At 35.3% G+C, this 12,240-nt stretch overlaps 1 long non-coding RNA gene across 2 annotated transcripts in view; it reads left to right on the top strand.

The window, feature by feature from the left end:
- Positions 1-11,514, top strand: part of LOC105374678 (uncharacterized) — a 108,785-nt gene extending 97,271 nt beyond the window's left edge. For both annotated transcript variants that reach the window (XR_001742406.2, XR_925838.3), the window contains one exon: positions 11,353-11,514. This is a non-coding gene — a long non-coding RNA (uncharacterized LOC105374678). The remainder of the gene's footprint in view (positions 1-11,352) is intronic.
- Positions 11,515-12,240: the final 726 nt, after the last annotated feature.

Below are 12,240 nucleotides of genomic sequence, written 5' to 3'. Positions count from 1 at the left end.
AAGCTCTCAACAAAGAGAGGGGACCTGGAAGCAGGTTGCCATAAATGGTGCTGAGTTCTGGGTCTTTTATATGGCAAGAGCAAGGAAGTCTTCTGTGGGTTCTGCACAATATGGGAGAGGTAAATTTCCCAACTAAGAGTGTTGCATCTGCGCATGTCTGGGGTTGGCCAGTGACTCCATCTTGGTTATCACCCATGAGTGCCTAACTGAAACCTGAAGGGGGCTAAAACCACAATGCCAATGTCATTTTAATGACATTATAATGAATTGCATCAAGTTAAGAACATTCAGGTTGATTTATTGTGTCTGCACCTAAGTTCAGACAGTCTTTTCTGAGCAACTTCCTGGCATAAGGGGAAGTTCTGGACCACACTTCTTTCCATTAGCTACAGGAGTGGTGCAGGTGTGGTCTCACACATATTTGTCACCTCCAGAGATGCTCCCTCTCTATCTGCCTAACAATCCTCTAACTGCTTCCTCTCTCAAGAGGAGTGTTTCTTGAATTGTTACAGCTATTCAATGCTTCTTAGATGTTCCCAGTAACTTTTCTTAATAGGTATGTGGCTTTATATTGGTCATTTGCTACTCTTCTAATCTACAAATGCAAACAGTCATATATATAAAACATATTTTTACGTTATCTCTCAAATGTAGTTGAAGATTAATTCAATAATTACAGGAATGTGGAATTAAAAGTAATGATTTGGCAATATAAAGTTCACGGGAATTAGTGGATAGTGTTCAATCAAGGGCCATCCTATAAACAGAAAATTCCAGAAGAATACCTTAAAAAGCATGTGCACTGATTTGTCTAATATAACCTTTGGACAAATAAGTAAAAATGTTTGTAAATAAAATTATTTAATTATATGGGTTAAAAGATATTTTTTAATCCTCTGATTGCCATTCTGCATTTTATTTTGTTACAAAGTCAATGAGAAAGCACTGAAGGGTTTGGACAAGAAAGTAGTATGTTAATCCTTGGCTTCAAGAATGTGGATCTTGGATGGGCATGTGGCTAATGCCCATAATCCCAGCACTTTGGGAGGCTGAGGCAGTGGACTACTTGAGTCTAGGAGTTCAAGACTAGCCTGGACAACATGCCAAAACCTTGTCTCTCCAAAAAAAAAAAAATACAAAAATAAAATCAGCTGAGAGTCGTGATAGGTACCTGTAGTCTCTGCTACTTGGGAGGCTGAGGTGGGAGGATCACTTGAGCCCAGGATGTGAAGGTTGCAGTGATACACAATTATGTCTCTGCACTTTAGCCTGGGTAACAGAGGGAGATCTTGTCTCAAAAAAAAAAGTATATGATCTTACAACAGTATTTTATCTGAAATGCATCAAATATTAGAATTTCATGATAGTACATTAACAAGAAGCTGCAGATTCATTTGAATGAGAGAATAGCCTTAAGCAATCTAGTGGTGTTAATGAACACTCAATTTTCTCTTTGTGCCCCTTCTTTGTCATTTATTGTCTAGATTTGCATGTCAGCACGAAGCTGAGTAGTATATTTTTATTTGGTCAGGAATCTTAAATAATTTTTCTTCCTTTTGTTTCTCAACCCACAATAATTTGACATTCAACCTTACTTCCCCATTGAAATCACCCTCTTAAGTCATCAATAATCTCTATTGTGCTGACTTCAGAAAACCCTTAGATGGTACATTGACTATTAAGCAGCATTTGAAATTATAGGCTACATTATCCTTCCTGAAGCATTTATTTTATTTTACTTTATTCTGATTTTCCTTTTACTTAGTGGATGCTCTTACTCAGAATTTTTTGTCATCTCTTTTTCATTTATGTGAACCACAAATACTGATATTCTTTCTTTTCTGAATTTGCTGTCTATTCACTTTTCATGTTATCATTGTGCTGTGTGGTCTTATTTGCTTTCAGGATTTCAATTATAATTAACATTTCATAATATGCAAATGTTCAATATAGACACTGTAGACACTACATTTGTATTTCCATGGCATTTTTGGATTACTCAGATTTCCCACAGACCTTACAATCTTAATGTTTTTCCCTTACAAACTAGCTTATCTTCCACCATTCCTTTTTTAAGTGAATTATAGCTGCACCACTTATTTACATAAGCTTTAAAGCTGTGTTGCCTGCATTAGCAAACTAACTTCCTTAGAGGGTATCCTACTTAATTGGTCTCCACTCGCATCCAGAAAGACCTTGTAAGAGAGGAGTCTAATATTGTTACCACTCTCATAATCATTTTTATAATTTTGCCAATTCTAGCCCAAGGCTTATAAGAACTACTTTTAATATTTTTTATATTCTATAATACTACATTAAATAGATTCAGAAACAAACAACAAAGACTAATTGGCAAACAAGGAAATGCTGGTTAAAGTAAGACAGGAATATAGTTCATTTGGCTCTGTTTCAGTCCCTTTCAAAGGGAACTTGCTTCCTTTCATCACTTTTCCTGAATGTTTTTCAAAGGATTTTCTGTATCTGCAGCATTTAAGCAAGTTTCAGAGATATGTTCCTATTCTAGACTGTAAAATGTGAAGAAAAGGAATGCTAGGTTCAACAACTTTGTGTTTAGGGAAATAATCGGGAAATTTCTCATCACATCCTCTCACATCCTGTTTTCTGACACTTGGTCTTGAATCTATAGTTAAATACTATAAAAACAAGGAAATAAAGTGTGTAAATGAACAGGCTAGCTAAAAATTGGGAAACTATATATTTGGGAAAAACAGGCAATGGATATTGCTGGATAGTTAGACATCACTCTGAGGTAGGAGGCCTGACCCAACTCAGGAAGGGAGACTCAACTCCAGAGGTGGGGGCATGAACACCCGACCAAATTCAGGACTAGTTAAAACAGGTCTGGGACAGAAGCAGCTTTCCCTCAGACATGCCCAACAGTGTGACATGTCAGTTTACTATTGCCATGGCAACATCCGGAAGTTATAGACCCTTTCCATGGCAGCAGCCCTATGACCTGGAGGTTCCCATCCTCATACTAGAAATTTCTGTGTACATTGCCCCTTAATTCGCATATAGTTAAAAGTGAGTGTAGGCTGGGCACGGTGGATCACACCTGTAATCCCAGCGGTTTGGGAGGCCGAGGCGGGTGCATCATCTGAGGTCAGGAGTTCAAGACCAGCCTGGCAACATGGCGAAACCCTGTTTCTATTAAAAATAAAAAATTAGCCGAGCGTAGTGGCAGGCACCTGTAATCCCAGCTACTCGGGAGGCCGAGGCAGGAGAATCACTTGAACCCGGGAGGCGAAGGTTGCAATGAGCCCAGATGTGCCACTGCACTCCAGCCTGGTCGACAGAGCTAGACTCTGTCTCAAAAAAAAAAAAGTGAGTGTAAATATGAGTGCAGAACTGCCTCTGGGCTGCTATTCTGGGCACACTGCCTATGGAGTAGCCCTGCTCTGCAAGGGGCAGTACCTCCATGGTTGCTGTAACCCTGCTGCTTCAATAAAAATTACTGTTTAACATCTGCTATGTATAGCCACCCTTTCTACCAATCTTATGTTATCCCCTACGATCTAGTTACATCACAGAAAGAAGAAATGGACTGCCTAAAACATCAAAACCTATGATCTTCACTTCTAGACAATTTCCTTCTATCTCTCTGCATTTTAATTCAATTCCTTTTTTGTGAGGAATAAACTTTCCTATGTACAATGTGCCACTGCTGATATCTACTCTCCTCTGTTCTCTAATCTACTCCTCCTAACACATGTGCACACACACAACCCAACACACACAGAAACACACACAGACATAATTCACCTGCACACAATCTCATATACATGCACATGCACTTACACATACATCACCTTTCACTGCGTGTCAGATACTCTCCTTGGATGTTTGAGAAAACATTCATACATTGCAATAAGTATTATTGTCTACTGTGTGCTAGGCACTCTTCAATATAATTTAAATACAGCAGTGAAGACAACAGTCCAAAAGCTTGTACCTACACCCGGTAGATGTCTCATGCAAATATACAAAGAAAATTATATAGTACAGTAAGTCTTCAGTAAATATCATGAATAGGTTCTTGGAGACCACAACTTTAACAGAAACAATGTATGATGAAAGCAATTGTACCCTAGTCTAATTTATGTAAATAAGATTTGATTTCCTATGGCATATTTTTGGTCACAAATACTTCACAAAGCATTGTAAATAAACACCAAAAAGCTTCTAAAATTAAACATTGAAATAAGTGTGAGCTATACATACACTTAAGAAAGATTAATAAAACAAATAGAATAATTATTTACCCACTTATTCTAGTTCAGAGTCGTGGGTGGCTGGAGTCTGTCTCAGCAGCTCAGGTTGCAAGGCGGGAACCAGCATTGGACAGGACACCGTCCCATTGCGGCAAGCAGTCTCCACATCCACACTCACAATGGGGATCACCCAGACAGCCAATCAACCTAAGATGGACGACATAGGTGGGAGGAAACTGGAGTACCCAGAGAAAACCCGTGCAAATGTGAAGAGAACAACAAACTCCTCACAGTGGCTCTGGCTGGGAATCAATTTTTTTTGTCATCAATCTTATAATAAAAGGATGTTTAACAAAACGACCTTCCTTATTTGAGGAACTGGCAGGTAATACATACTACAGAAACTGTAGAATGGGGAAAAGTGTATAAGAATTCTGAGTTTTAGTAATTATAGAGAGGCTTGTCTAGTGTATCTTGAGAAAGCCTAAATACAAACTGGAAGAAATTGACAGAGATACACATTCAGATATGGGGTGGGAAACTTTCCAGATAGAGGGGAAAGCTCGTGTAATGATATGGTGTTCATGGAAACAGAAAGGAGGTCAGTGAAGCGTTAGAGAACAGAAGCAAAGAATACAAGAGGTGAGGTCAGAAAGGGAAAGAAAGGTCTAGAGCCTTGCAGTTTACTTGGATTTTAGGTTTAAGCTTTGTGCAGGGAAGGGACATAATCTGACCTGTCGGTACCCAGGACTCCTCTAGCTACCTTACTGAGCATAGACAAGAAGGAGCGAGATCAGAGCAGTGGAATTATTTAGAAGTCTTCTGCAGTCACCTATGCCAGAGATGATAGATGCTCAAAGTTCACGCAAGGATGGAGAAAAATAAATGAGAAGTAGTTTGATTATTAATATATTCTGAAGGTAGAGAGAACATCATCTCTTCAAATGTTGGATGAGATGTCATGAGAGAAGGAGGAGCAGTTACGCATGTCTCTAAGATTTTCAAGTCAAATGACAGCAAGATTGAAGGACTGCTCTCAACTGAAATGGAAAATGTGTGGGCAGATACTGATTTGGGCAAAATATCAGGAACTCAAATTTGAATATCCTGAGCTTAAAATACTTAGAAGATGACCATTGTAAGTACATAGCTGCATATGGGAGTGAAGAGTTTGTGAGTAAGGAAGGGGGATCAGATTTTAATTTTTGGTAGCTAATCCTCCAACATACCCTCGTCAAATGAACCACAACTTCCTATATGGGCTTGGGTAATCTTTTCCTGTTGAAGCTATGCTGGTTTTGTGACTTACGTGTAATAAATAAAATGTGACCAAACTGATGTTGCATGACTTTAAAGCTTAAATGACAAGAAGGCTTGATTGGTTGTTCCACTTACCTTGGAGGAAGCCAGTTGTTATGTAAGAAGCATACATACTTTCAGTTTGCACATGTGAGTTTGGCTAACTTTAGTTTGTTATGTTGTGAAGAAACCCAAGGTAGCCACATGGAAAGGACACTTGGAGAGAAGAACATGTCTGCAAAGCCTCTGGTTGTAATAAAACTAGTCATACCAGTCCAGATTCCAAATAGATAAGTGTAAAAGACATTTTGGATGACCAGTCTAATTAAGTCTTCAGATGGCAGTAGCCAGTTCCGCTGACAGCTAACTGCAACTGTATGATAGGCTCCAAGTGACAACTGTTTAGCTGAGTTTATTCAGCCAGTCTGAACCCTACGAAATAATAATAAATTATTTTCTACTGCAATGTTTTGAAGTGATTTGTGGTATCCCAGAGTCATCAGCATATAGATGATACATAAATCCATGTGTTGAGATGCTATCTTCAAGACAGTGAATACAGGAAGAGACAAAAAGTAAATCAGGTACAGAGCCTCAAGCAATCCATCTTTAAGTTATCAGGAGAAGACAGCAAATGGCAATAAATTAGGAAGCCAGGTTAAAAAAAATGTTGAATCAAAACAGAGAATCATCAACTGCATTTTATTCTGCTAAAATAGACTTCGAATGAACTGTTGAAGTATTATTTGGGGATTGAAGAACTGATGTATTTAAAGAGAATGGCAAAAACCTAATTGGATAGGTTTAAGAGAACATGTTTTGGAGGCAAAAACTAAAGAAAAATTTTAAGAGTTTTATGGTAAGGGGACAAAAAGTCAAGAGACATTAATGAGGGTTCTACTAATAATGTTTTGATCATAGAGTAAGCAAACAAGGAAAGCTGAACTATTCAGATATTAGCAATCATGAGAAGTTATTAGTACCTTTATGGCTGATGGATTTTGAGGAAACTAGAATTAGGTGGAATCGTTGAGGAGGGATCAGAAAAACAGCTCCGACATGGAGAAAGGCAGAAGAGAAAGGCACTAGCTTTCTCTCCTTTATCCTGTAATATTTCCTTTTGCTATTGGATCCCACTAGCCTTACCAAATGAAAAATCAGAAAGACAAGTAGCCTGGGAGATGTAGGTGCTAGGGGCCAGCCTCAGGATACAGAGCATGCAAGGAAGGCTGGAGCATGGAGTGGTAAAAGATCCAGACAGCAAAAGCCAAGCACAATAATACACAAAGAAAAAACAGTTTATTTAAGGAGAATAAGGCCTGAGAATGACAAAAAACAAGATCAAGATTTGTATACTTTTCAAGAAGAGTAAATGATGTTTACTCTAAGTTACGTCTGACATATTGCCAAAACTCTGACTGTTTAATGTCTATTTAACAAGTGTAGTGAGATACTATTTTAAATACTACTTTTTGAAAGTCTTTTCTCTAATTTCTTACAATGAGCTTACATCAAATAGCAACATTTCTAAGAAGAGCAGAAAATTGTTCATTTGCTATCATATGTTAGATTCAGAATAGAAGGTAAAACAAAACAAAAAATCTAACCAGGAAATTGAGTATTTGGGTTGAGGCCCAAGCAGAGGGCAAGGTGGAGAAGAAATATAAACTGCTAAGTATTATCCAATTTCTTATGCATGTGATGAGGACATTCCCAACTGTTGCCTTTCTTATGGACAGAGCATTTAACTATATAGAAGATGCATGGTTACGAAGGATCTTTTCATTAAGAAATTCAAATCATATTTTGGACTACCAAAAGAACAATGCAAGATGCTCAAGAATTTAAAGAATTTAATTGATTAGCCCTACTAACACCAACTTCTTCAATGAGCCTGTCCATTTGTAAACACTCTTAGTGAAACAAAGAATTCGATTCTTAATAATTATAATGAATTCTATCACTGCTAGTTATCCTTGTGTTTAACTCATGTTTAAAGTGTTTTTCGTTTGTCTATTTGTTAACAAAGAAGCAGATTAACAATTTAAAATGATGTATATGTATTTACTTCACAGGAATATTTCCTTAATTGGAATTAGCTCATATGTGCATATTGATTGCTCCACCTCCACCAAAGAAAATAAAACGTTACGGAACTTTAACAAAGTAGGAAGTTCTGTGTGTGTGTATATGTATGTGTACATATGTGTGTGTGTGTGTGTATATATATATGTACACACACATACTTTTGTATAGTTTTAAAAATTTTAAGGAATTGGGTAAGTCTGAATAAAGAAAGATGAGATTAAAAATAAATGGAATTTTTGCATGGTATATTTATATATTATTTTAATTTTAGATTGATTTCCTCTCTTTCACAGTTCACATGAGGCAAAGATTTAAAGAAAATAGGAAAATGGGCTTATCTTAAAAAGATTATCATAAAAAGCTTTTCTGAAACTTTTGAATTCTACAGTGTAAGATGTGATGGTACACAACACCTCTTTCCCATGTGTCCCCCCATAATGGTTTCCTAAACTTCAAAGAGATAAGCTATTATAAACCTTAAGTCACCTTGCTTGAGCTCAGGCCTTTGAGAGTGAGGTATTTAAACATATTGGTATTAAGTATGAGAATAGCTGTTTTTATTTATACTTGAGAGTGAATATCTTATATTTTGTCAAAGCAAAATATTTCATATAAAAATGAAAGTACTGCAAACAGCAGAAAAACAATATGCAGCTCCTTCAGCTCCTTAATGTCACATTTGCTAACAAATCAAAATGCTTTTATTTCTCTTATATTAAAATGCAAAATAGGTTTCCAGAGGTCATTTATGCAAACTTTTAAAATTTGAAATATTCTTAGATATAGTTATATTTAGAATTGTTATATGCTAATAACTAACTTCAAAAATTGTTTCCAAAAGGCTTAGTAGTGAAAGCATGTATCTATTATATACAACAGTGAGAAAAATAGTAATAAAGTAAAAAAAATTTTCTTATCTAAAAATAACATTTTTATTGATAAAGAGTATATTACATTTAAAGGAAGCAGTTCTTAAACAAACTCCCAGTAAAGGTGAGGAAGATATTAAAATTATAATTTTGCCTTTTTATAAGTGAAAAAGGAAAATACCAGGGTATCGAGAAATGTTATTGTGCCAGACAGAATGATAAAGGTCGAGTTCATGACTAGGGGTTTGGGTGTACCAGTAATGACCCAGAAATGAATTATTCCAGCTGAAAAATATTTTAGCCAAAATCAAATATTATTTAATAGAAGTAAAATTTTCAACTACACATTTTTAGTTCAAAATTGATTTAATACCTAAACTAAACTTGGCAGTATTAACAAACAGAAAGGAAGAGAGAAAAAAAAATTGAGGCATAAGAAAAGTCACAGATAATCATTGTTTTCAAAAAAGGAAAGTTTCGTTAACATATTCAGACACTATTTATTTTTTCCTTTTCCCAAAGCTCGTTATTTCTGGTGTGTTAGCAATCTTCCAAAAGCCACTTAAACAAGTAAAATTGGTCAAAAACAATGCAATACATTTTATTTGACAGACCCAAATTTATTTGTAGGCCTTAAAAGAATCTCAACTATTTACCTTTATATTCCACACACAAGTGAGTTTGAACACAATATGGCCTAAAAGTATAGTATTCCAAAAGCTTAAGTGATTATATTGTTTGAGTGTCTAGAGATTTGGTACCAACTGTGATGAAAATATGCAAATAACCTAATTAAAATTTCCTAAGGGGTACACCTTATTTATGCCTGTTTGTTCTTACTATATTCTTGGAGGAAGTATCTGTTTTGTTTCGTATTGCACCTACTTTGAACACAGATTGTAGTTCTTTAACATAAGTGCATAAATTACAGTGGGTGAAATTATTTAGATCATTACCTTCTCCAATGTAAGGTTGATCATTTCTTGAAAATTGCTACATATCATATTTGACTTGATTTCATGTAATTGCTTAATCAGTAATACATTCTTTTAATTGTTCTCTCAATGTTGTTAATTCATGGTTTTTGCATTTCCCACTTCCTCGTTTTTAAAATTTTCTAACATGAATATCAACATAGTAATTCTCAGTTACAAGTATAACAAAAAGAATATCTTGATATACCTAGACCAAAAATATATATTCACTAGCTGAATTATTAATCTATTGAAAGTGATTTTAAACAAATATTTGGAATAGAAGGGGGAAAATTTAGAAAAGGAGAAAGTATCTATCTCAAAATTCATATAAACTAAAGTATATCAATGATACGTAATGTATAATAATGATGAAAATATCCAATAACTCAATGATGATGATGATGGTGATTATGATAATTCAAAAAGAGTATGCATTGCTTTAATTATCCTGTTCATTCTCTCTGAACACAAACTGGCAAATCTCATTCCTGTCCGTTGACACTGAGGGCTTCCTCCCTGGGCCAATCATTAAAATGTGTTTCTATGAACTGCAAAGATACAATACCATGCACTAGATTGAGCCTCAAGACATACTGTTCTGTTTTCCAAAATATTTAATGGAGAAGTTCCTGAAGTATAACTTCTGGGTTACCTACCATGAAATGTGCTGTAAATGATGCTGCTTTAGGCAATGCATGTCATAGCCCAGTATAGAAATATTTGCATGAAAGTGGAAATATGAAAAGTGGGCTCAATGCTCATGAGATTTCTATTTCAGCCTGAAATTTGTATGTGAACATAGAAATAATAGGATAATATAAATCAGTAAATAAATGCTGAATGCAAAGCATCTGCCTAATGCAGATTTCTTTTTTATTTATTTATTTATTTTATTTAATTTTATTATTATTATACAGGATTTCTTTACATAATAATCTTGCTATAAATATAGTCTTACATTAATTGTATTGCTATTCATTTTAAAATAATAAAATTTTTTTTTCTATAAATTTGGGGACATATTTTATAAGAAAATCCATTATGACATTCTTTAATATATCATTAATAAAAAAAGGAAATTATTAAAATAACTCGGTCCCCCCAGAGTATTTGGGGGAAAGGACCTTGAGTCAACTCATCACAATTTTCAGTGCTAGGAAGAAAAGGAATATATGTTACCAGTGTGATAGAAAGAGTCAACATCCACTGGGCCATGTGAGCCAGAGGGTAGAACCACTGAATTATCATGGGAAACTAGGCAGATCTATTATTTTTCTTGGATGCTTTTCTTTCTGTTGACACTCAGGTTTATGAATCAATCCCCAATTGCTTTGTGATAGTTGTTTCAATGACTTTTTCCTCAGTTGTCTCCCAATGTCTAGACTTAAGGCTGGAAAGCAAAGAAAATAGTTAATAATTTTTGTTTGACATTACGTAAATGAAAATAATTCTCCCCAAAATATTAAGAAATTGTTAAGTTAAAGACACTAAAAATGCAGGGAAACACTCTTCCTCAGCCTCTGTTTGCCTGGTGGTAAGCAATACATATTTTCTTACTGGAGACAACACTTTCTCATTGGCCCGGGGAAGGCACCCTCAGACACACCAGAGACATCTGGGAAGCGGTTTTACTATTCTCCCATATTTTCCCATCTTTTAAAAGATGAAAACTTCTCTCTCCTTTGTCTTTTCACTATATAGGATTTATGGTTCTTTATTAAAATACGATTTAAGTAAAGCCCCTAAGCCTCTGCTTTGTGAGAAATAATTTTGAACTAAAGCCTCTCCGATGTGATAAGAATGGGTTAATGAACTTTTGCTTGTGATGGGAATGGGTTAATGAACTTCTGCTTGCTTTAATTTTGTTAACTTGGCTGTTATTTTCAGGAGAGTGTCTCAACTAAGAAGCTAAAAAGGGAAAGAAAAGAAAAGCAGTTATGTTTTTTTCCCCTCCGGCCTATACAAACACATACACACCAAGGTGAGAAATGCCTTTCTTCATCAGTACCATCTGGGTCAATATGTAATGTTTTGTGTGGCTGAGACCTAGGGCAAACATGAGTAAGTTAGGAAAAATGCTATAGAAAGAAGAAGAAAATAAGAGAATGAAGTAAAAGAGAACAGGAGAGAAATAGCAAATTGAGTAAAAAGGGAACAGTAGAGCATCGTCAATTACAGTAGGATTTGTAATCCAGTATCAAATACCTAGTTTGCTTATCTCATGAAAAATACAATTCAGATTAAGTAGAATGTAGTTCACTTGATATATGATTATTTAAATAAATGTAATTTCAAGGAGCTATGACAAATAGTCATCCTTTTGAGAGATTCAGTTCTTTCTAACGTGTCTCATGAGACTATTTAAACATAAAGATATTTATGCCTGTTAAAAGAGATTCACTGGACCTATCTTCTAAAGCCACAGGGCTAAAGTATATAGCTGTATTTTGGATTTCCTTCCTTCTAGGAGTAGCCAGAGTCAAAAAAAATCTTTTTAAACTTTGTTAAAAAGTGTGAACGATACAACAAGTTTATTTTAGTATAATCCCTTTACTTCTTTTTCACTGAATCTAAAGTGTGTTTAATTTGCAACAATATTGAACATGTGAGGGAAAAGTTGAGAAAAGACCACTAGCATTATGTGTGAAATGCTCACCCTTAGTCGCCAGAGGAAAGAAGAAGTTAACATGGTCACAGAGGAACACATGGTATGGATGAATTTCTAAAAACTCAGTTTCTGGAAAAGAGCTATTATGGGGAGGTGGAGCAGGAGAT

The sequence above is a fragment of the Homo sapiens genome, chromosome 5, assembly GCF_000001405.40.
Source record: "Homo sapiens chromosome 5, GRCh38.p14 Primary Assembly".
Classification (NCBI taxonomy): Eukaryota; Metazoa; Chordata; class Mammalia; order Primates; family Hominidae; genus Homo; species Homo sapiens.
The sequence above is the reverse complement of the archived record's forward strand: the minus strand, read 5'-3'. Positions and strand labels throughout refer to the sequence as shown.